Here is a 26,947-nt window from a genome sequence, read left to right as displayed (position 1 = left end):
TTGAGATCCAACTTAAAGAATGGATAGGCAGGCTGACACAGTGAGAAATGGAAGGGCATTATAGGCAGAGGAAACAAAGTGAACAAAGGCACTGAGGCAGAGATATGAAAGGGAGATTCAAGCCAGTGAGTAGACTGGGTTGGATGCAGCATAACAAGCCTAGGAGAAGTAGTGGGAGATCAAGCTAGAGATCTAGCTTGAAGTCAGATAGTGGAAGGTCTTGAAACCACAGACACCTGCTGTGGCTGATGAGATCTTTCAGACATTTGAGTAGAGGAGGGGGCTTGTCAGAGTTGGGCCTTGGGAAGACTGATCTGGAAGCAACGTGAAGGCTAGGAGGGAGGAGTGAGAAGGGAGCTGTCCCCGCTTCTCTGCTCCCTTAACACTTTCTATATCATAGAATGTGGCTGTGTGTCTCACCCTCTAGAGAGTGAGCCCCTGGAGGGGAGCTGAGTGTGCTGTCCACCTCTGGCTGCATGTGCCAGTGGGTGATATATTCACCTGTAAAGCACAGTACAGCTAGAGGTTAGGAGACAGGGGAACAGATGCTGGAGCTGCTGCTGCCTATGTTGATGCAAATAACAATACCGTTTGGGAATCAATCTAAAGTGTCTTTGCCTGCATCAGCTGAAGTTTCTTTTAGCATAATAACAACTGTCTGGAAATGTAGGATATGCAGATCTATATTCTAATCTTAGCTCTGTACTTGCTTTTGCAGGATTTGGAGTAGTTTATCAATACCCCAACTTGTTTCTTTTCTCTTTAAAATAAAGTAAAACTATTTTGTTTATAACTATTAACTTGTGAGGTGAGAGTTATCCAGCTTGTCATAGGGATCTGGCATAGAGACAGTACTCAACGTTATTATTATCAATCTATAATATTCTGGTTTTTTTGTTTCTTTGTTTGTTTGATATGGAGTCTCGCTCTGTTGCCCAGGCTGGAGTGCAGTAGTACCATCCTGGCTCACTGCAAGGTCCACCTCCCAAGTTCAAGCAATTCTCCTGCCTCAGCCTCCTGAGTAGCTGGGATTACAGGCGCGCACCACCACGACCGGCTAATTTTTTGTATTTTTAGTAGAGACGGGGTTTCACCATGTTAGCCAGGATGGTCTCAATCTCCTGACCTCGTGATCTGCCCACCTCGGCCTAACAAAGTGCTGGGATTACAGGGGTGAACCACTGAGCCCGGCCGATATTCTTATTTAATTTAGTCACCAAATCGCAGTTAGGACAGTGTTATTATTTTGCCCCGTTTCACAGATGAGGAAACAATCTCAGGGAAAAGAAGGGATTTACTCAAGCCATACAGTGGAGACGTCTGGATTTGAACCTACTGTGTTGGAATCTCAACTATGTGCAAACTCACAAAGGGAAATGAAGCCTTCGGAGGAAGGGCGGGACAAGGGTGACCACACAGGTGAGCGAGATGGGCTTCTAGAAGGACGCCCGCATATCTCTGAGGAACAGAGAAGGCACAGATCAAAAACACCTAGGCTCTTCACCCGTTGGCAGCCAGAGCCTGGGTCCATTGCCTAGGCAGTGGAGAAAAACCTGGTCCCCGCCCAGAAACAGCCTTCAGCGTCCTTAGCGACCAGGGCGGAACAGGCGCCGCCCGCGATGCGGGCCCTGTGATTGGCCGGATTCCTGGGCTCGGTCCCCACGCCCCGTCCCGTCCCCGGGTCTGAGAGTGTCAGCTTCCTGGGGAGAAGCACGGACCGCGCACCTCTGAGCTGCCAGGGTGGGGACGCTGCCCTAGCGGTAAGCCCCCCGACTCTGTTCTCTCCGGGCAATCAGGGCCGACACGCAGCTGCTGGGCAGGGAGGGGATTTGAGGATCACGAGTTCCGGGTCTGGAAGATTCCAGACAGGTGCAAAGAGGCTGCAGGTCCCCGGGATGAGGGGCTGCCCTAGCACAGGTCTTTAGTATTGGACTTTTGGGAAGAACCCTGGCCTAGACATCAGACCCAAGTACTGGAAACAGTCCCGTCCTTCATTCCTCTGTGACCCTTGTCAAATAACACACCCTCTCTGGGCCTTAGTTTTCCAATCTGTGAAGGAGCCTTTGGAGTAGAATGATTTCTAAAGGCCTTTCAGCCTCTGGGTGGTTCTAAAAGGGAGTGTTCAGCTGTGGCCAGATTTACTGAACTTCTGATTTTCCCTTGGCATCACTCTGTTTAAACACCTTGTGCAGGAGTTCAATTTCAGATTCATTGTATTGTTGTAGAAAGAGATCAGTGATAACAACAAAAGTCTGTCTGTCTTGTGTACAGTCTCCCTTCAGATGCATTATCTCCTTGGATTCACCCTCAAGTCCCTGAGAACAGACCTAGAATTACCCTGATCTCATAAATGGGGAAACTAAACATCAGAACTGAATATGGATTCTTCATATGTCCCACTAATGCCCTTGTTTCTGCTCTGACCTCACTGGAATTCCATCCTATGTCTTGTAGTACAGGAAGGTAGAGTCACCTAATGATTCAGTAGATCTGCTGTACAGACCTCTTAGGTGAGATTCCCAAGTCGGCTAATTACTGGTGATGTGATGTGATGTGAGTAAGTCATATAGCTACATTTTGCTTGTTTCCTCAACAGTAAAACAAAAATGATAATAGTAGTTAAAAATATCTTTCTCATGCCTTTGTTAGGAGTGTTAAGTGAGGTAATATAGGTGAAACACTTTGTCCTGCTATTATTATTGCTTGTTGTTATTGGCAAGGATGATGCAGTTCCCTAATGGAAAATCAAGAGGAACAATTTACTTATTTTCACCCCTAGGGATCTGAAGGGATTTTGAAAGGAATCATGTCTTCAGCCTGGAAGACTCCCCGTGGATCAGATGCAATGCCTGAGATCATGGTGAAAATCATTGGAAGTAAACACTTTCAATACCTCGTGGAGAAGCCAAAGATGTAAGTCCATATTTGAAAAATATCTATGTTGCTTGGATGATAATGAAGTTTTATTGTTTTGTTTTCACCCAGAAATTTAAACTTAAAAAATGCCATCCATGGAAAACGAAGTCATTAAGATGCAACAGTAGAGGTAAAATCGTGTTGATAACTTCCATGTGCACTGTTTTCCTGATATTTTTCATCTTTATAATTCCCCATACTCCTTAATTACTTGGGCTGATTTTCCAAATAGATGGGAAATATGAGCATTGCGACATTTATAAATATTAATGGAGCACTGCTGCCTTTTCTCATCGGGCTTGTAATCTACCACATGTACTAATTTTGGGGAGAGTGGGGGAGGTTTAATAGTCAATTTGTTGTGAATTACAGGAGTAGGATTAATACAGAATCATAAATTGTAAGGTTTTCACTTACTCCTGTTTGTATTTGATACTCCTCTAAGCTTGGGCTTCTCAGATCATGGCTAAGATCTCTTTCTTCTATTCCAAACCCATCAGAGTCACATTTAAGAGATGACACTCCTGTATTTCTAATATTCACCAGATGTTTCAGCACAGAACAGTATGACTAGCTCTTTCTTACAGAGTTTCAGTGGCTCAAAAAAGGAGGGAAGGTACTAGATCTGTCTTTCATATAGTAGGCGTTCCATAAGTAATAGCTAGTCAAAAATTACTTTTCCTTCCTAAGATTATTTCCTTAGCTCTATCTTCTATTTCAGAAACTCATAGACTGAACAAATATACAAAGATATGGTATTGTTGAACATAGGTGCAAGAAGAAATTTTTGCTAAACCTAGCTGTCATCAGAATCACTGGGAGAGACCTCAAAAATACAGATTCAGGAACCAGCTCAAGGTCTGCTGAATCAAAATCTCTGAATGTAGGTCACCAAGACTGCTGTTATGAAGTACAGGCTTTAATAAGGCTTTAGAAAGGCACATTAGTTCTACTTCCCTACTATCAGTATTGTAAGGTCTAGAGGGATTCCAAAGTGACTGCTATAATCAGTTAGTAATGTCTGCCACTGCACAGGAACTGAGGTTTGCAGCACGTGATTCATACATTTGGGATCCCTACAGTGCTGAGAGGTGTGAAATTGAATCTTAGGTCTGATTCTTTCTTGCCTTTTTGACATTGGGAAAATGAATTAACATCTTTGGCCTTAGATTCTACATATATGAAGTGGGGATAAAACAACACCTATCTAGTAATAGGGTTATTGTGAGGATTAAATGAGAAAAAGTATGCAAAGCACCTTTCCAGTGTCTATTATAAATAACATGCTTAGTAAATAATCCTGCTATTATTATAGAAGTCTTTCTATAGATATAAAAAATGTAACAAAAAATCGAACCTCTTTCTCTGAAATGTTTGATGTCCCTTTTATATTCTATGCCTAGGACACAGTTTATGTCTGTTTTGTAGATGAGGAAACTAAGACACTGTGATATGGTAAGCGATTATTTTGAGATATGTCAAATCCCTGTCACTGTCAAGAAAAGTAAATAGAATTAGTTTGGACACCTGGCTCAGATCTCCTACCTGGAAAACTATATTATTACTATTCCATTCCTTATTTAGGTTATTTGTTTAGCCTTATTCTCTCCCAAACTCCTTGCTTTTTCCAAGGGTAGGGAGCTTAATATGTTTTTAAACAGAAAGCAAGGAGTAGTATTTAATTTTTAAAATAGTGAAAAGTTAGCTTTATCTTATAGGAAGGTGCCTTTCCCCATTTTGTTTTCTAACCTTCAGGAACCAAGAAATAAAAGAGTACATTAAATCAGCTAAATTAATTGTAAAATAAAATATGCAGTTCTATCTCTCCTATTATAGTACAACAATTGGTATTTTTTTAGGTAGTAAGATGGATATTTTGCTTGTTTGTTGTGTTTCCTATAGACTTCATGTTACTGTTGCTGGGATGACATAGGATAATTGATGTGCATTGCTAAAATATTCTTCTATGTTTAAAAATAAATAATTCTTAAATGCTTCTTGTTGCTCAGGTAAGGAAAGTGCCGCCACTATCATGTCATTCATGCTGCAGAATCTGTCTTCCCAAAAGTGTTTATACTCATAAACCAGGGCCTCAAAATGCTGTTTCCTTTGGATTGAATAAGTTGAATCCATTAATAAAAATCCACTTAAGAAGCATAAGTAAACATCAAAAAATAAAGGCTTCTCCAAAATGAAAATTTGAATTAAAAGAAAATCATGGATCAATAATGGATAGAAAAAGAGAAATCTTCTGTATAACCACATTTAGCTCAGATTTCCTGCAAGACATGTGTTGATGATGGGATGGTATGACAGACTTGAAGGTAGCCTTTTAGATGCAGCCCACTATATTAGCTTGCTAGGGCTGCTGTAATAGTGTACCACAAACTGGGTGGCTTAGAACAACAGAAGTTCATGGTCTCAAGTTCTAGAGGCCAGAGGTCTGAAGTCAAATTGTCCATAGAGCTGTGATCCCTATGAAGGTGCCAGGGAAAGACCTATGTGTTCTAGGCCTCCCCTTGTTCTCGCAGTTCCTTGGCTTGTGGCAGCATATCTCCAAGCTTCACATGGCTTTCTCCCTGCATCTGCATCTGTGTCCAAATTGCCCCTTTTTATAAAGACATCAGTCAATTACATTAGGGGCCCACCCTAATCCAATATGACCTAATCTCAGCTCATTACATCTGTAATAACCCTATTTCCAAATAAGGTCATATACTGAGGTATGGGGGTTAGAATATCACCACAGGAATCTTGGCAGGGCCACAGTTCAACCCATAACAACCAGACTCCCATTTTACAGATGAGGTGAGATAACTAAGGCCTCAGTGGTCTTAAAGCAAGCCCCTGAAGTTCCAGGTTTGTTATTAAGATCTAAGACTGGAATGGAGCTCTCCTTCCCTCTTTCCTTAAGTTAACCTGTGTAACTGCTCACAGATCAAAGAAAAATACTTATATTTAGTATACATATATTTCACAAAAGAGCAAAAGAGACTAATGTGTAGGCTTCAAGGAGTGAAACAGGTTTCCCCTTATTTGTGCCATCATCATCTTCCTCCTAGGTCACTATAACCGCCTTCCAACATAGTTCCCTGTCTCTAATCTTCACACACTCTACTTGACTCTCTGCAGTTTTGCTCCTGAATGTGTAGTCCATGGATCTCCAGCATCAGTCTTAGCTGGGAACTTGTTAGAAACAGAACCTCAGCTCCCTTCCTGATATATTAAGAATCTTACTTTAAACCTGAATTTTCAGGTGACTCCTCCACACATTCCAGTTTGAGAAGCCCCATTCTCCAGTATGGCCAGGGTGATCTTTCTAAAATAAAAATTTAATGACGTGCTGCCACCACCAGACCCACATTTGCCTGCCCCACCTGGGGGCTCCTGTAACACCCGTAAGGAATAGTACATGCTTACAACTTCCTATGCATTTCTGTCTCCCCAATTTACTGTAAATTATATATGCACAACTATATCCCCAGCACAGAGGATAAAATATTGTACATGGTAAAAGCCTATTAAATAAATTAGAGTGACATGGCTGCCAAGAAAAATAAAAATCTAGAAAGATAATACTTAGTTGCTTTAAATAAATCCAAATCTAAAGGCCCATGCTGTTAAAATAACATCCAGATGTTACTATGCAATCCTGATGAGTAACATGCCACGTGACAGGAGACAAATATTCTCATTTTCAAAAAGGAGATAGGAGCTAGTAATAATATCACAGAGTCAGAGGCTTGTGGACAATCCCTGCCAAAACTGTAGGCCAAAGAATTAAATATATTAGTTGTGAAAATAAAACACCAAGAGTAAGTATGCATTGACTAAAAATAGATTATGCCAAACTGTTCCATTCTCATCATTGACAAGATTACTGCAGCCCAAATGAAGAGAATGATAAAGACAGTATGTGTTGATTTTGGTGAGTCATTGGGCACAACTTTTTCACAAAGGCATGAAACAAGGCAGAGAACTCTAGACTGGATGGTGTTGAGATAGGTGATACACCAACAAAGTGGTGATGGAACAATTGATATAATCACAACTTGCTGGAGGTGGGGAGGATTTGTGTGTGTGACCCTGCTCTTATTCAACAGTTTTTAATACACAGTCAAAGGAAGATAGACAAATTGTTTTTGTAAACCCATAGTTAGCAGAAAGCTGACAAGCCTTGGCAGGGAAATAAGCTAAAACCAACAAGATTAAATAAACAGAAATATATGCAAAGGCTATCTTTGGAGAAGTGTACATGGAAATGGTTATATGGAATAAATGTTTGGGTATTGCCTGTGTTTGAGCTTAGCATGAGTCAAGGGTATTCAGACAGAGAGATGTGGAGGCTCACTCTACACAGAACTCAGTGGAGTACTGCACACTTCATTCTGGATGCCACATTTTAGGAGGCGCCCTGGCATGCTAAAGGTGGGGGCAGTAGAGGGCATTATGAAATATCCATTGACCAGAACAGAGGCCTCAGAAATAACACCACACATCTACAACCATCCAATCTTCAACAAACCTGACAAAAACAAGCAATGAGGAAAAGATTTCCTATTTAATAGATGGTGCTGGGAAAACTGGCTAGCCATGTGCTGAAAACAGAAACTGGGCCCCTTCCTTATACCTTATACAAAAATTAACTCAAGATGGATTAAAGACTTAAATGTAAAACATAAAACCAAAAAAACCCTGGAAGAAAACCTAGGCAATACCCTTCAGAACAGAGGCATAGGCAAAGACTTCATGACTAAACTACCAAAAGCAATTACAACAAAAGCCAAAATTGACAAATGGGATATAATTAAATTAAAGAACTTCTGCACAGCAAACGAAACTATCATCAGAGTGAACAGGCAACCTACAGAAAGGGAGAAAATTTTTGCGATCTATCCATCTGACAAAGGGCTAATGTCCAGAGTCTACAAGGGACTTAAATAAATTTACCAAAAAAAAAAAAAAAAAAAAAACCCCATCAAAAAGTGGGCAAAAGATATGAACAGACACTTCTCAAAAGAAGACATTTATGTGGCCAACAAACATATGAAAAAAAGCTCACCATCTCTGGTCATTAGAGGAATGCAAATCAAAACCGTAATGAGATACTATATCACACCAGTTAGAATGGCAATCATTGAAATGTCAGGAATGAGATACTATATCACACCAGTTAGAATGGCAATCATTGAAATGTCAGGAAACAACAGATGCTGGTGAAGATGTAGAGAAATAGGAACGCTTTTACACTGTTGGTGGGAGTGTAAATTAGTTCAACCATTGTGGAAGACAGTGTGGTGATTCCTCAAGGATTTAGAACCAGAAATACCATTTGACCCAGCAATCCCATTCCAAAGGATTATAAATCATTCTACTATAAAGACACATGCACACGTATGTTTATTGCAGCACTGTTCACAATAGCAAGACTTGGAACCAACTCAAATGCCAATTAATAGTAGACTGGATAAAGAAAATGTGGCACATATACACCATGAAATATTATGCAGTCATTAAAAGGGATGAGTTCATGTCCTTTGCAGGGACATGGATGAAGCTGGAAACCATCATTCTCAGCAAACTAACACAGGAAGAGAAAACCAAACACCACATGTTCTCACTTATAAGTGGGAGGTGAACAATGAAAACACATGGACACAGGGAGAGGAACATCACACACCAGGGCTTGTCAGTGGGGGGTTGGGGGAAGGGGAGGGTTAACATTAGAAGAAATACCTAATGTAGGTGACAGGTTGATGGGTGCAGCAAACCACCATGGCATGTGTATACCTATATAACAAACCTGCACATTCTGCACATGTATCCCAGAACTTAAATTTAAAAAAAAAAAGAACATTTGTGATTCATGGGAGGATGTCAAAATAGCAACATTAACAAGAGTTTGGAATAAGTTGATTCCAACCCTCATGGATGACTTTGAGGGTTCCAAGACTTCAGTGGAGGAATCACTGCAGGTGTGGTGAAAATAATAAGAGAACTAGAATTAGAAGTGAAGCCTGAAGATGTGACTGAATTTCTGCAATCTCATGATAAAACTCAAATAGATGAGGAGTTGCTTCTTATAGATGAGCAAAGAAAGTGGTTTTTTGAGATAGAATCAATTCTCCTGGTGAAGATGCTGTGAACATTGTTGAATTGACAACAAAGGATTTAGAATATCATATAAACTTAGTTGATAAAGCTGTGGCAGTAATTGAGAGGATTGATTCCAATTGTGAAAGAAGTTTCCCTGTGGGTAAAATACTATCAAACAGCATCATATGTTACAGAGAAATCTTTTGTAAAATGATGAGTCAATAGATGCAGCAAACTTTATTGCTGTCTTAAGAAATTGCACAACCACTGCAACCTACAGCAACTACCAACCTCATTAGTCAGCAGGTATCATCGAGGCAAGCCCCTCCACTATCAAAAAGATGAGGACTTGCTAAAGGCTCACAGATGATTATTAGCATATTTTAACAACAAAGTATTTTTAATTAAGGTATGTGCATTGTTTTTTAGACTATTGTATTGCACACATTAGAGACTACAGTATAGTGTAAATATAACTTTTATGTGCACCATGAAACCAAAAAAAATATGTGAATCACTTTATTGTGATATTTGCTTTATTGCAGCTCTCTGGAACTAAACCACAAATCACTGAGGTATACCTGTAATTTGCATTGATATTTATACCCAAGATATGCAAAGTTCTGGTATTTTCCCATGTGACTCTCCTAAAGCCCATATTCTGTCATTTTTGAATCCTCCAAAACCATTTATATTAATAAATTCTTTGTGACTTGTCTTAAACTCCTTTAAGTGTTAAAGTTAATGGTTTTAGAAATTAATGTATATATGGAATTCCATCAACTTCTTTTTCACAAATATTAACTGAGCACCTACTGAGTGCCAAGCCATGGAGACACAGAAGTGTACCTGAAGTTCTAGTGATGGGAAACACATAATAGACAGATAAACAATGATTGTTCATGCAGGGATAGTGCAATAAGGAAAAATAAAGGAACATAAGGGTCTATCAGCTCTTAAAGGGTCCCAGAAGCTGTCTCTGAGCAGGAGACATTTGAACTGAGACAGTGCAGAGATAAGCAGCTAGAATTATGCAATGAGAATTATCCCAGGTTAGCTACCAGTGAGCTAAGACTAGCCCAGCCTTCCTCCGTGTGCGTATGGCTCTACCAGATTTAAACTCTCCATGAAGCTAATAGTATCTTCTTCCCTCCCCTGCTCAAGAAAAAGAGGCTGCAACTATTCACAGGTCTCAAGTTTGCCCAATATTGGGCATCTGACATTCTCATTTACTGTTACAAACCGATGGCACTTAAGTTGACTGCCTGGAGCCCAGGTAATTTTTTTTTCTTTTTGTATAAGGTTGCCTCATGCTTGCCTCATTGTATTAGTCAGGGTTCTCTAGGGGGCAGAACAAATAAGATATATATAAATAATATATATTTTATATATTATTAAATATATATATTAAATATATATATTTAATATATATTTAATATTTATATGTATTTTATAATAAATATTTATTTATTTATATATTATATATTTATTATATATTTTATATTATATATTATATAATATAAAATATTATATATTTAGAATATATATTTATTTAGAACAAATATATATTTATATATAATAAATATATAAATATATAATTATATATTTAATATATATTTATATATATTAAATATAATTATATATTTAATATATATTTATATATTAAATATAATTATATATTTATATATTTAATATTCTATTTAAATATATTTAAATATATTTATATATATTGAAATAATATATTTATATATAAATATATATTTATATATAATTATATATTTAATATATAAAATATATCATATATATTTATATATATGATATATTTTATATATAGGACATATATATATTATATATGATATATATCCTATTAGTTTTATATATATAAAATATATATAATGATTATTAGCATATTTTAGCAATAAAGTATTTTTAATTAAGGTATGTGCATTCTTTTAGACAATGCTATTGCACACATAATAGACTACAGTATAGTGTAAACATAACTTTTATGTGCACCATGAAACCAAAAAAAGTATGTGAATCACTTTGTTGTGATATTGTGTGTGTATATATATATTATATATTACATATATTACATATATAGTATATATAATATATAATTTATATATTATATATAAAATATATATATAATATATAATTTATATATGATATATAAAATATATATATCATATATAAAGGGGAGTTTATTAAGTATTAACTCACACAATCACAAAGTTCCACAATAGGCCATCACAAGGTGAAGAACAAGGAGAGCCAGTCTGAGTCCCAAAACTGAACAACTTGGAGTTCAATGTTGGAGGTCAGGAAGCATCCAGCACAGGAGAAAGATGTAGGCTGGGAGGCTAGGCCAGTCTAGCCTTTTCACATTTTTCTGCCTGCTCTATATTCTATCTGCACTGGCAGCTGATTAGATGGTGCCACCCAGATTGAGGGTGGGTCTGCCTTTCCCAGCCCACTGACTCAAATGTTAACCTCCTTTGGCAACACCCTCACAGACACACCCAGGATCAATAATTTGCATCCGTCAATCCTATCGAGTTGACACTCAGTACTGGCCATCACACTCATAAAAATCAGAACACCATCCCTCACCAGGAGCACAGTGCTCAGGATCAGGGAACCCATATACCTGCTGCTTTTCTGCCACTGAGGTCCAGCTTGCACCAAGTGATACCACAGGTACTCGCCTCCATCCTAGTGACTCCACAGACCTACAGAGAAAGTAAATCATGTAAATATCTGATGAAAGAGCATTCTAAGGAGACAGAATAGTCAGAACAAAGCCTCTTGGTATGCTTAAGAAAGAGCAGGAAAGCCATTTTTTGTGGAGCACGGTGGGGAATGGGGAGAGGAGCAGGAAATAAGGTCAGAGAAGCCAGTAGGGCCATAGTAGAAACTTTGGATTTTGTTCCATGTAGAATGGGAAACCATTGGAAAATTGAGAGCAGTGCTGCTCACATTGTATTTATGTTTTCTAAAGGCTGCTTCTGTCTGTTAAGTGGTGAGTAACTTGGGAGTGACACAAATAAAAAGAGAGAAAACATTTGGAGAGTTATTATGATAATCCAGGCAGGAGATGGAAGCACTGAACAATTATAGTCCATACATAAAGTATGGATAAATTTTGTGATTGAAAAATTCAAGTATCCCATTTATTATTTTTTAGAAACAACTGATCAATAAGCCTTATCTTTGTTTACTACTTTTCTCACTATACAATCTACACAATAGCTGAATATCTATGAACTCAATCTCTCATTAAAACTGAACAATAACATCACAGAAGATACTTATCTTCATTTTTACAAGTTCAAAATAATAAAGTAGTATGCTAAAATCATACTTCTATTAAGCCCTTTCCACTGCATTAAACTGCTTCTGTATTAATATCCTGGAATAATTTTTGTTTGTTTTTGTTTGTTTTTGTGTTTGTTTTAGGCACTGTGAGAAGTATAAAGAAGCATAATATACTGTTGTTCTGGTCATAAGTCTGCAAATAAGAATACAGGGCATTATGAAAGCAAATATTAAATAGATGTTTTAGAAAACTTATAAGTGTCCGTTGATCCCAAATATTGAGACTATGAGGTAACAGTTATTTTTGCCATTTGAATTCTATATAGTTTAAAAAATATAATACAAAGTCAAAGTCAAAAACAAAATACTGTTTACAACATATGTGACAGAAAAATAATTAACTCCTAAATGCATAAAGGCTTTTCCAAATCAATGGGAAAAAGATGAACAGCCTCATTTCAATAATTGGCAATAGACCTAGACAGGAAATAGAAGAAATAAAAAGGAACAACAGATATGTGGGGGTATATTCAACCTGCAGGATAATAAAAGAAATGTAAACAGTAATGAGACATTATTTTTTACAAATCAAATTAGGAATGTTTTATAATGGAGATACCCAGTGCTGGCAGGTGTTTAGAGAAAATACTCATATGATACTGTGTTTTTTAAAGTATACTTATTGAAAGCCTTAAAAGTATATGTACTTTGGCATAAGATCTGTATCTATGAATCAGTTCTGTGGAAATGATTATGGATGGGTATAATGATTTGGTTTCGAAGATTTACACAAAAATGTGTGTTGTGTCTGGGTCCCAATAGGAAACAGATTATACACTCAAACAAGGATGGCTTTAGTTAAAAAGGACTAATTACAAAGATGTATGCTGAGATTAAGAGAACTGCAAGTTATGGTGCAGGAATCATGGGCTAGCAGCTGCAAGGTTGGTAGGAGCACTAGGTCTGAAGAGAGGAGAGGAGGGGAATGTTACCGAAACTAAATAAAGGAAGCATTCTGCCTCTCGGGCCATCTTGAGAAAAGCAGTGACCTTTGGTCAAGAGACACAGGTAGCCTGAGTCAACCTTGCAGGGAGGGAACCTCCTCCTGCCAGGGCTACCCATTGGCCCAAACCACCTAGAATCATAAGACATAGGCACTGCTTTTCTTAGAGACAGGATCTCTGTCCATCACCCAGGCTGGAGTACAATGGAGGGATTGTAGCTCATTGCAGCCTGGAACTCCTGGGCTCAAGCAATCCTCCTGCCTCAGCTTCCCAAGTAGCTGGAACTACAGGTGTGCACCACAAAGCCCAGCTATTTTTTTTTTTTTTTTTTTTTTTTTTGGTAGAGATGGGGTTTGGCCATGTTGTCCAGGCTGGTCTGGAGCTCCTGGCTTCAAGTGATCTTCTTACCTAGGCCTCCCAAAGTATGAGATTATACGTGTGAGCCACTATGCCTGGCCTCATGGGCACCATTGATAGAGTAAGTCCACAGAGGTCAATTTCCTGGGGTTGAGAAGGATGGTGAGGATATAGGTGCAAAAGAAACATCTCCAGCAGAGCAGCAACATTGAAATTAATGAAAATTTGGAAATCAAATTAATGTTCAACAATATAGGAAAAATTAAATAAGCTATCTTATATCTATATAATGAAATACCATTAGACATTTAAAATGTTGGTGTAGAGATAGAAGTATTGGCCTGTAAAGGTATCTGTGTTATTTTGTCAATTGGAAATTTTTTTAAGAGATTAGAAAGGTTGATTACAATCAATCTTTGTTTTAGAAACAAAATAAAACTTCTCATGTGTGTATATGGAAGCTTTGTATAAAGAGATTAAATGATATTTGGCCACCTTTAGTTTCGCCAGCTAAGATTTTGAGATAACAAATTTATATTGATAGAGTATTTTTAAATCCATCATCTTTTTATATATTCCTGATTTAGTTCAACCTGATTAAACAAAATAACATAGCAATAATGATTGCTCCTCGTTCCCATAGACCATGTGGATGCATCCAGACGTGATGCAGAGACAGAACTGTTTATGCTGCATCCTCTCAGAGTATGGATAGAAGACCTGGCTCAGAAACTGTGCCCTACAGCACAGAGATCATTGGTGAAGAGGCCAGGCAGTTGCACAGTCATTTTGCTTAGACTTGCAAAAGCGAAACAGGAGAGAATGCAAGTGCAAAAGACATTACATTTCAAGCCATTAAAGATTGGTTCCCAGATTTACATTTTAGCCAATAAACATTGGCTCCAGACTGGTAAAGCTGCACTGTCTGTAAAGCTCTTGGGTGTAATCCACCTGAGGACATCGTGATGCAACAATGTTTGGGTTGTTTTTTTTTAATCACAATTAAGGAATGTGATTGCTTTATCAGAATAGATTTTTAATACTAATTAATCTTTGTTTTTTAAAGGGGGGGTGATTTCTAAAATTTGTATTTACTGTGATTGGTAAATAACAAGGTGGCCAGATAGATTGCATTAATTATCTCTCTTTTTATCTATTTAAATAGATTTTCTTGAGTTCCTATCTACTACAAAACCTTTACTTTTTGAACTTTAGTTTTGTCTGTCAATAAAGGAAGTTTTGGGATTCCAGAGAAAGAAGCATCCCTTTGTACCTGAGTGATGAGGAGTGTGTGTATAAAGGAGCTAGCACTTTAAGTTATGATTAACATAAAATTACTATTTGTCGAGGTCTGGTGGAGGAACACCAGGCTTGGTGCTCAATATTTTATACATTTTATCTTGATAAGGATTATTTTTTCTCATCTCACAGCTGAGAACCTGAAAATCAGATATTCCCAAAGTCACACAACATGAAAGAATTTATGTGTGGTGGCTGACACACATAAGCATTTAGATAGAACATATTAGCTAAAATAATTACATTGATAAAGAAATGATTCAAGTATAGGTTCAGGAGTTGAATGAACATATTTTTTTGATCTTTTCGAAGACTAAATTTCTATGATAATAGTACATGGTATGGTTCCATGACATAAAAAAAAAAAAAGAAAAAGAAACAAAAAACCTTCATACTTTGACACAATAGCATTAGCTACATTAGCACAGGCTTCACATTTCAGCTTCCCTGTGGAGTTTGGTGAGCTTTTTCAGCTGTACTCCCCTCCCATTTCCGATTTTATTTTTTATTGTCTTTTTAAAAAGAGAAAAGTCTGGTTGTCTTGATTATCTCTTATTACTTACAAATAAGAACATGCTTTCATTTACTGAAATTAGATCCCCATTCACTGTGTTGGCACACTCTAGGCTGTCTTCTCCAGAGGGTTTAGGGCCTGTTAGATGGCGCACAGTTGGAAATTGGTGGCATTGAGTCGCTGCCAAGGCTGGCAGACCTTTAAGATGGCATCTGGTGACCTTTTGCTGAGCCCCCTGGGTCCTTCATTTGAGATTTTATGTTCTCGGCAGGGGTGTAATCCAAATCAAATGTGAGATCTGGTGAGTTGGAGTTACATGGGAGGTGGGGCCAGCGGGGGATCCCTACCTTGCTTTGGGCAGAGGATGCTACTAGACGCCTTTGCAATGTTTCTTTCTAACCCTGAGACTCTGTGCTCTAATGGAGGGTGACTCTAATGGGCTGGTTTGCAGAAAGAGCCCGGTGAGAGAGGGAACGACTGGACAGTTTTCTCCTCATTTATTTATCATCCAGGAACACAGTAATCCTCTCTAATTGCTCTCATTCCTGGATGACACTAAACTCTTCACGGCACCCCCAGAGCAGCAGCTGAGGTCAGAAGTACATATGCGGAAGCTAGCTGTGTCTTGCTTCCAAGATAGTATTGATGGCGTTTTTCCCCCCTTCTTTTGAAATGGCAAATGTCTATTTTCAGTAATGTAGGTAGATGGTACACAAGCCTAGGAGGAAGAACTGTGAGTTTGTGAACAACATAACAACCAATGCGTGTTGACAAATTGTTTGTGCTAACCACAGACACATGCCGTTTCTCAGCTAGAGAGTCATTTTCTTGATAATTTTCAAAGCGCTATGTATTTTTTTTTAAATACAGCTTTTACTTGAAACAGATTTAACAGGTTATTTTTGGTTTTACATCTACAGGGACTGTTTTAAAAGACAGGCAGATACATTTTACATTTCTCAAGCAATTCTGTCCTGACACTGCCCACAAAAGGATTTCAAAGGTGATTAAAGCAAAGATAATCCATTGTCCCTGCCTTTATCCAAAAGAGTTAACTCCCTGCCAAAAGACCATTTTTGCCTTCAAATCCTGCACTTCCTACTTTGGTTACCTGCTCCTGTACTTTCAGCTCCTCACATAATCCCAAACTTCCATGGACCTTCCTCTGACTCTACTGCCAATAGGATCTGAGTCTGTGCAATGAAGTAGACAGGTTTAAATCCTGGCTCCACTACTGAAAAGCCATGTAAATAGAGTTAGGCCAATCACATCAACTTTCCTGGCCTTAATTTCTTCATTCTAAAATAATAATAATAGGAACACCTGACTATACGGTTGATTTAAGAAATATATAATCTAATGTATATAAATAAGTATAGCGTGGCTGTCATGTTAAATGTTCAGCAATAATATTATTTATGTAAACATTGCAAACCATAGTTATTTCTGTTTCTTATGAACTTCAAATAGTACTGAATCTTTGTAATGTTCATTTGGCATTTATTTATATGCTAACTGGGTATGTTTCATATAACTTATGTAAATTTTATACCAATTTAATACTTTATAGAGATACAACATACCTATATTTACATAAAAGTATACATCATAAGTCTACCACTCACTGAATTCTCACAAATGTGATATACTCATGCAATAAACACCCAGATCAAGAAACAAAATAGTACCAGCATCCCAGAAACCCCGTTATGCTTTCTTCTGGGCTATACATCTCCCCTCAAAGGTAATCACTACCCTGATTTCTACAATATAGTTTTACCAGTTGTTAGCTTTATTGTTTGCATTATTTTTGGACAACCAAATGAAATTTAAATTTCTTGAAGGCAGGGAACATATATGTCTTCTCTCATTGCAAAAAACTATTTGTCAAATATACACTCTCCTTCTCATACTCCTGTCTTGCACTATTATCATTTGAGTGTGTTTGTCTGGCAAAGCCCCAGTTCTGTGTGAGCCTCACTGTCTGCCTTCTCTGCATGTCTGTGAGGACTACTGGGTGAAGTGCCATTCACGCTCTCAAATTGATTTCACAAAAATCAATGGTCTTTAACCTTAACTGGCCACTCAGTTGGCCCAGCCAACCTGTCTTATTTTTCTGATCACCCCTCTTCCACTCTTCATAGCAGCTGTCCCAAACCATCTGCCCTTAATTCAGACTTTCTACCCCATCATTTCCCCGATGAGACCCAAGGTAACCATACCTTGTTATCAGAGAAAATTCAAGCTGTCAGCAATTTGATCAACATCTTGTCATCAAATGTACTAATTTGCCTACATCCTTACCTATTTTTCTACAACCTTAACCCTGAGGTTTCCCTTCTGTGTCTGTCCTCTCAATGACTTCCATTTCCCTTTGTCAAGGTTCATCTTATATCATCAATGATATCCTCTCCTTTTCTGCAGTTCAACTGGCTATTCACCATTGGCATTTCAACAGGCTAAACTCCCTAACATCTTTGAACATGATAACAAAGTCTTATCTGAAACCCTATATTCCACATCAATCATCACCCCATCTTTCTCCCTTCTTGCAGCCAAACTTCTTCAGACAGGTCTTTATACTTCCTGTCTACATTGCTTGTCCCCCTTCTTTCTTCAATCCACTTCAGTCTAGCATCCACCTACATTACCTCATTGCAACTCCCTATACCAAGATTCCTGACTACATCTTCATGGCTAACCCAATGGACCCTTTTCAGAAATTTCCTTTCTCAGCAGCATTTAATACTGTTGTCCTCTCTCTGGAGACATCCTCTTGCTTTTCTACGAAGTCTTCCTTCTAGTCTCCTGATTTCCCTTCTACTTTACCGGGAATTTTTTTAAAGCTCTTTTTAAGGCTCATCTTTCCTCTTTAAATGTAGTATCCATCAGAGTTTTTTCCTAGGCCTTCTTTTCTTCTTGTGCTACCACCACCAAAAGGATGACTATAAAAATATACATATATTCAAATTATTGCCCATGGTTTGGTCTTATTCAAATCAACAAGTATTGGAGTTCAACAAGTATTATTTAAATCAATGGATGTTATATTTAGATAACATGATATGCTTGTAAATGGATCTTTTCCACTGTATCTATAAATAACAGCTAGAATTTATAGAATGCCATGTAGGTACAAGGCATAGCTACTTTGAAACTTATTTTTTCAGATTATAGAATAGTATTTTCCTATGTAGAAAATTTAGAACAATAATACTATGAAGTATAATCTGACATGATATAGTGTAATAGAGTGTAATGTAATACGCTAAGTTCTACCACCCGGAGATACTGTTAACTTCTGGCACATTGTTTGCTACATGGAATAGGCACACACGTTATATACATGCCTTTTACACAGTTGAGACAATCATATATTCACTTACTTTTATAAGTGGACATTTACTTGTATCATTAAATTATTCATAACTATTTTAATGACTTCATACCCTTTATCACAAGCAAAGAATGAAATAGTCAATGCATCCACCTATTACTAAATATTTAGAGTTTTCTTTTTTTTTGCATTTTTCTCCTTAATACACATGCTTTAACATTGTTCTACAATGTCAGAGTTTCAGCTTCTTGACTCCTAATGTTTTGTCAGGTCACCCACTGTAAGAATTATATCTGTCTTCTATGTTTAAAATGGTACCTTGTTACTGTTTTGATTTGTAAGACTTTCCATTATTTTTTTATTTTTTATTTTTTTAGAGACGTGTCACCCAGGCTGGAGTCTAGTGGTGCGATCTCGGCTCACTGCAACCTCCACCTCCTGGGTTCAAGCGATTCTTCTGCCTCAGCCTCCCAAGTAGCTGGGACTACAGGTGTGTGCCACCACGCCCGGCTGATTTTTGTATTTTTAGTAGAGACGGGGTTTCACCGTATTGGCCAGGTTGGTCTCAAACTCCTGACCTCATGATCCACCCGCCTCAGCCTCCCAAAGTGCTGGGATTACAGGTGTGAGGACTTTTAGTTGTTAAACAAAGTTGAACCTTTAATTTTGTTTGTTATTTGAATTTCCTTGAATCATCCTACAGTTTTTTTTTTCTTTTCTCTAATATTAAACTTAAATGAAAGGCTCCCAGGAGAAAAGGAAGTCTCAAGGGGAGAGGCATAGAGCAGAACTGGAGCTGACAAACTGTTTTGACTTTCTTTTCTAAGGCTGAAAATACCTGTTACATTTACAAGTAAGAAATGTGATAACCTTTAGGGTTCATTTTTCATACTGGCCATTGCTTACAGTAAGGGTTTGGGAGCAGATGGATAGATTATGAGTATGAGGAAGAGGGTAAGGAAAAAGATAAAGCCTGCAAAGATAATATTAATAACATGTTCTCTCTATGGTCAATGATGCATAGACAAATAACCAATGTTTATGCTTCCACATTCCACTGTGCTGAGTTTCTACTGTTCACAACACCAAACACACCTTCTGTTCTTATGCCAGCCTAGTGTATGAGGAGTCTGCCTGTAAGTAACAAAGTATACAATTCTTTCTTCACAGCAAGGAGAATGACAGCTTGAAAACAGAAACCCAAACAATGCACCAGAAACCAATGACTGATAATGCAAGGCAGATGAGCAGAGACACCCCAGTTCCCATTAACTTCACTGATCAGCAAACCACTGATAATCCAGATGATGTGAAAGAGAAAAAGCACCCAGAGAACAACCAGAAATCAGAAAACAACCAGAAACTACTAACAGGGGCAAACAGTAGCAGATTCCTGGATGGCAATGTGAGTGACAAAAAATACCCACGTTTATCTTGATAATTTATTAGGAAAATATAGATAAAAACATAGGTTCACACAAAAACACACTGTACAAATGTTCATTAATATATTTTGCATGAGATAGAAGTAAGAATCAATTTTTTTCAATCTGAAAATGAACTTCAGGGTCATTTTGTATATTGTATCTTTGCTGACCACCAACGGAGTTGGTCATGATCACCAAAGAAGTTGGTCATGACAACCAATGGAGTTGGTCAACCTATTCTGCCTGTGGTTAGCTCAGTGATACTCAGTGTTGTTACTATACATGCAAAGTTGGGGCGTGTTGGAGGGTAAGAGTCTGTCTGCTTTTACATTACAAAAAGAAATAATTTATTTTAAAAATACAATGCAACCATGTCTAATTACAAAAAAAAATTATAGGCCCCAAACTCTGTTGATAGAAATATATACCACTGCACTCTGTTAACAATCAACCAAACAATTCATAACAAACTAACTTGATGATGATGAATCTATATGATTAGTAGTTTGTAATTAAAAAGCAAGTAAAGCAGCAATTGAAAACTGGATCTAAATCAAGACAAAACTAATGATTCATTGATAACAAAGTACCATTTCCAAAATTGCTGAAATTGCAATTAAACAGATACATAGAGTAGGAGTTTTGCAATGCTGCCAAGCATTAAGTGACAGCCAGATATTTTAGTAAAATACTGAATTAGATTCTGCAGTACACTCTAACATAACTATTTTTAGTTTGTAATTTTAATAGCCCTTTCTAAATCACTGAGCTGCTAGCTAGTCTTTAGTCATATGAGAAAATGAATGCCTATGGATTTGTGATCTTCTGCTCATAAGAACCATGCAAAGGATCAAATTTTGGAGTGGTTAACAGCCTATCTATGGACCTCAGGCTATACTCTGCAAGGTCTAGTTGAACACTGAAGACCAGAAATGAAAGTGACTTTCCCAAAACATGAGTGACACAGATTGAGCTGTCACTCAAGCCTCTTAGTCTCCAGTTTGGCTGAATCCTTGAATTTAGGCCTTGGTTACAGCAAAAGATAGTGAATCTGCAGAGGTGATATAATCCATTTGAATGATCAAATGTGAATTTTTATCTGAATGTTTTAACCTAATTTAGATTCTGGCATTAATATATTTGTTGTTTTTGCTCCCAAAGAATGGCCTTGGTAATAATATTATGGTTATAAAAGACGTTATTATTGACTGATTGCTTCGAGGTAAATTTTATTATTTACTCTTTGAAATTAACCCTGTGAGGTAGATACCATTGTTATTTCTACCACCATGGCATAGATGATAAAACTAACACTCAGAAAGGATAAAGTGACTCATAAGTGTGTAGATAAGATGTTTGTCTAGGTTTTCTTTTTTTTCTTTACTTAAATTTTTATTGAGCTTTCTAATTATAAAAATAGCATAACGATGTAGCAATTTTTGAAAAACAGGAGAATATAAATAAGAAGAAAAATATCAACTAAAGAAAACTAGTGGTTTTCTTTTCCTTTCTTCCTCTTTTTTCCTTCATACATAGATATAGAATAAGAATCATTATATATACTCTTTATTATCCTGCTTGATTCACTTCATATCATATCAAAAATTCTCCCCTTGGCATGAAAAAAATCATCCTACGCATCATCTTTAATGGTTCTGTGAGAGTTGTACTCAGAACTAACACTTAGATGGATAGCATTTACTATGTGCCAGGCAGTATTCTGAGCTCTTTACAGATATTAACTAATTTACTATTCCCAAGCACCCGGCGAGGTAGGAACTCCTATTATCTTTAGTTCATGTTTAAGGGAGCTGAGAAACAGAGAGGTCAAGGGCCTTGCTAAAGTCATAGAGCTGAGAAGTGGCAGACCCACAATTCAAGCCCAGGTTCTAGGTCCTTAGTCACCAAACTGTATACATTCCTTTATAGAGATATAACACAGTTCACTTAACAAACGCCTTATGGGCACTTAAGCCATTTCTAGTTTTTCTCTTATATATAGACATCTGTTTCTTGACACTCCTCCTAATACATCAAACTGCTCATTCCTGTCATGGACTCTGCATTCGCCATTACCATAGGTAGCATGTTCATTAGGTAAGCTGTTCTTAACCTCCATGATCTGGATTATTTGCTAGCTCGGCAGTACAGGGAGAAAATTTGCCCCTCCCCTCCCAGAACTCAACAGGGTTTCTAGTGGGAGGCTCAGCGGGGGCTAACACTCTGCCACCAAACAAGGAAGGCCTTGTGGGAGGTGTGGGGACCGACTAATTGGTTCTGTCTGCCGGGCGGGCGTGTGGTGCTGGCCCGCCAGATGGCAGCCACAGTTGCCTGGTACAGAGACCCTCATTACCAGCTTGACTAAGTGGTAAATGGAATCCTGCCGCAGTTACAAAAGCACACCAATCAGAACTCTTTCTAGATCCTTATCACTCACACATAGATGAAAATAAGCTTTCCTGCCTGGGACGTAACAGGCAATCTGGACCAGCTGAATTTGCTCCAAAAGAGAAGTTGCTGATAAAGACTGAGCTAACATGCTTGAGGACGAGCAAGTGTGAAACTCTTTTCCAAATCACAGAGTAAGTTCGAAGAGTCTCATTGGTAGGAAGTAAGTAAAACTGAAGATGTTAAGAGAATCCCTCATTTTGTGTATATAAGAACAGTGAGATATCTTACAAATAAACAAGTACAAACCTTCCTTTCACAAAGGAAGAATGAGAGGACCAGAGAGCTTAAATGCTCCAAGGTCTCACAGGAAAAGAGCTTGGCTCTTCTGACTCCTAGTCCTAGGATCTTTTTGCCTCCAAATTCTGCTTTATATGCGTATGTTTTTGAAAAAATACATATTGTTTATATCATTTCTCAGAATTATCAGCTCTGCCTTCTCTCAGAAGAATAAAAAAGAATGTGTGACTAGCAACAAACTCAGTAGCACAGTTTCAAAAATAAAATTGTAGTGTGCTTTTTGCATCTGGCAGCATGAAAATGAAAGTGTTAGTGCTTTAATTTTAATAATTATCACAGTTTATTGGGAAGGTTTCTTTTCAAAGCCCTTTTGTGTGTTTTCCCTTGTTCCTTCTCCACAATAGCCTTGCAAGGTAGGTAAAGGCACATGATGTTATCTTTATTTTATAGATGAATAGACAGATGTCAAGGACATTTCTACTTGGCTGTGCATTTGCAGCTCAGATTTAGAAAGTTCAAGGCAGAGCCTTTGATCTTGTACTTCTGGTGGTCTGTGTCTCACAGAATGGTCTCACCCCTCTCTCAATTGCACCAGCAAGAAACCTGAACATACTTTCCTCCTGTCTCTCCCTAACCCTGACATCCAACCAATCACAGATTCCGTTAAATTCTACCTCCTTCGTGTCTCTCAAAACCTTATCTTTCTTTTATTTTCCTTGTCATCACCTTAATCAGACCACCATTTTGTCTCACCAGGGAGATTTTAATCATCTTCAAACTGACTTTTCTGACTTTAAAGCTCTCTCTCTGTATTGGTCAGCTATTGTGATAAATACTGCTGCGTAACAAATCACCCCACAACTCAGTGGTTTATAACAATAATCATTTATGCTCACATCTACAGATATGAGCTTAGGCAGCTTTTATTTATCTCAATTGGGTTGGGCTGGGCTTGGCTCTAAAGTGGATTTGATTCAGGTCTGCTCTGTGTTTTCTTGTTCTGAATCCAGCGAGCTCTTCAAGGCATGTCCTTCTCATACTGATGGAAACATTTTAAGAGAACAAACTCAATTACACAAGTGCATTTTAAGTCTTTGCTTTTTGCTTGTGTCATATCCACTAACATCCCATTAGCCAAAGCAAACCACATGGCCAAGCACAACATGAATGGGGCAGGGATATATATGCTATCTCTTTTAGGAGGAACCACTTGATCAGATATAGCCTCTGCTTAAAACACTTAAATTCCCTTGTTAAATCCCAATTCCCTGGTATAAAATTTAAACTCCTTGACTTAGCATTCTAGCTCAACTCTGTCTATTCTCTATTTCACTTTCATCCCCACATCTCACTAAACTGAAATTCTTTTCCATAAATAGAGTTCTGTTCCCTTTCACCTCAAATCCTTTGCCCATGCTATTCTTTATGGGTAAAATTCTCTTCCCTCCATCTTTATTTGATTAACTTCTAACCATATAAGTGTCCCAACTTAGATAGCAGCTCTATCAAGAAGCATTATCGTCTGATTTCCAAGACTGAGGTAAACGCCTTTCCTAATGTATTTCCAAGTGAATCTGTGCACACTTCTACAGTAGATGTTGCCATACTATTAAAATAAACTGTTTCCTTATCTGTCTCCTTCCACAAGTCTATAAGACCACTGAGAATAAGAATTGTTGCTTGTTCATTTTCATTTCCAAATGTCTTTCTCTGTATATTGGCTCAAAGCCAACATCTAATTTAATGGGAAAACACTAGAAACTTTCTCATTTCAGTTTGGAAGAAGTTAAGAGTGCCCACTGTCTCCGCTGGCTTTTAATGTTATCCTGGAGATATTTGCCAATGCAATTACATAAGAGAAAGAAAGTACAGGCATATTACTTAGAAAAGAAGAGGTAAAACTATTTTCAGAGTATAAGATTGTACATCTAAAATCTCAAGACAGTTAATGAAAAAACTACCAACAATCAAGAGAATTTGGCAAACTAGATAGTTATAAAATCAATAACACAAATCAATGGCCTTCATATATGTCAACAAAAATGAGTTAGAAGATAAAATGGAGGAAAAGGCACCATTTACTATAGCAAATAAATGTAGAAGTAAATTAACTAAATAAATAAATCAAATGCCAAGACATAAACTTAACAAGAAATGTCCAAACCTGTATGAGAACAAAATATAAAGCACTCCAGAAAGATACAAGGGTAGATTTGAACAAATGGAAAGGCATGCTGTTTTCTTGTACATAAAATGTTAACATCATCAAAACGTCAATCCTCCCTAGGGTAATTTATAAATTTGTTGGGATTCCAACAAAAAAATAGTGTTCGGTTTTTATTTTGTTTTGTTTTACAACTAGCCAAATTGATTAGCAAGTTAATTTGGAATAACAAACAAGCATGAATAGTCAAGAAAACCCTGAAAAGGAGAGCAGCACTATGAATAATGGGTAAGATACCATTACCAGATATTAAAACAAAAAGTCTCTATATTTAAAATAGTGTGGTTTTGGCACATGAATACATGAAAGACCAATGAAATTGAAAAGAAAAATTCAGAAATAAACCCACTGGCATATTGTTATTTTGTATATGATAAAGGTGACATTGAAAATTAATAAGAAACAGATGGACATTTTAATCAGTGACACATTATTGGATAGCTATAGAGAAGTTTTAAGTTGGGTCTATTCCTCATATACCATACATACGTAAGATGTACATTAGGATATATTCCAAATACATCAAAGGTTTAAGTGTAAAGAAATAAACATATACAAATAGTACAAGTAAACATGAGTGATTTCTTCTATCATCTGGGATAAGGGGAAACTTTCTTAACTGTGACTCAAAATGCAGATACAATGAGGAAAATGATACTTTTCACTGAAGGAGTGATTATTTTCACCATAAGGGCCAGACACCTGTAAGCAAAGCATATAAACACCTGACAAAGTAGGAGGAAAATCTGCAACTTGCATCACTGACAAATATATCTCTCATCTATAGAATATTCTACTTAAAATAGAGAAGAAAAAGGGTTATACTATTAGAAAAATGGGCAAAATACATGAACAGGCAGTTCACAGAAAAACAAATGTAAATGTTCCTTAAATATATCAAAAGATGTGGACTTGCTTTTAATAAGTAGAATGTAAATTAATTCTGCCCTGAGATATAATTTCTCATTAGCAAAATCCAGGAAATTGATAACATAATTTGGCAAAATCCATAATATTGATAATATACTTTGTTGGAAGGCTATGGGGAAACAGATACACTGCTACAATGATAGAAAAAAATTTAAATGGAAAAACTGCTTTGGAAGAAAAATTGACAGTAATTAGCAGAACTACATCTACATTTTTTTATAAGAAAATCTCACTTTGAGAAATCTATCCCAAAGATGTACTTGAAAAATATAATATTAAAAGATTTATGCAGAAGATATACATTCCAACATTACCTGTTACACCAAAAAATTATAAACAACCTAAATTTCCATAGACAATGAACTGTTTGAATAAACTAAGGTACATCCATACATGGAGTACTATGAAATTGTAAAAAGAAATGTAGAATTTGTGTATATATGAGTATTATTATATATTATTATGTGGAGTAATATAACAAGATACATTATTAATTGAATAAAAGTGAGGTAGAAAAATATATATAGATTATTCTACCAGGTATCTATCTATATATATATCTATTATGTACATATCCCTTATGTTTTTTAAAATGAAGGAATTAATTAAGAACATTATTAAAAAGTGGTTATGTCTTGGGGATAGATGGAACATGATGAATGGATAAAAAATAGAAACCATACTTCTCTGAATGTCTTGTTTTGTAGGTTTGGCTTTGCAACCACGCAAATGTTTTACACTACAGAATTATAAAGTAAAATTATATGTTAAGAAAATCAATTTGTAAAAATCAAAAACAAAATAAAATAAATCTGGTTTTCTTATCTTTTGGTATAC

General features: G+C 37.0%; 1 protein-coding gene across 3 annotated transcripts in view; it reads left to right on the top strand.

Moving 5' to 3' along the window:
• The first annotated feature begins 1,679 nt into the window (after positions 1-1,679).
• The window catches only part of C1orf87 (chromosome 1 open reading frame 87), an 83,377-nt gene continuing 58,109 nt past the window's right edge, over positions 1,680-26,947 (top strand). For 2 of the 3 annotated variants that reach the window (NM_152377.3, XM_017000308.2), the window contains exons 1-3: positions 1,680-1,760; positions 2,780-2,913; positions 20,012-20,246. In NM_152377.3, coding sequence (NP_689590.1) covers positions 2,807-2,913; positions 20,012-20,246 — 342 coding nt within the window. In that variant the 5' untranslated portion in view covers positions 1,680-1,760; positions 2,780-2,806. Of the gene's footprint in view, positions 1,761-2,779; positions 2,914-19,305; positions 19,332-20,011; positions 20,247-26,947 lie in introns of those variants that run through there. The other variant, XM_017000307.2, reaches the window with a different exon arrangement.

The sequence above is a fragment of the Homo sapiens genome, chromosome 1, assembly GCF_000001405.40.
Source record: "Homo sapiens chromosome 1, GRCh38.p14 Primary Assembly".
In the NCBI taxonomy this organism is placed as follows: Eukaryota; Metazoa; Chordata; class Mammalia; order Primates; family Hominidae; genus Homo; species Homo sapiens.
The sequence above is the reverse complement of the archived record's forward strand: the minus strand, read 5'-3'. Positions and strand labels throughout refer to the sequence as shown.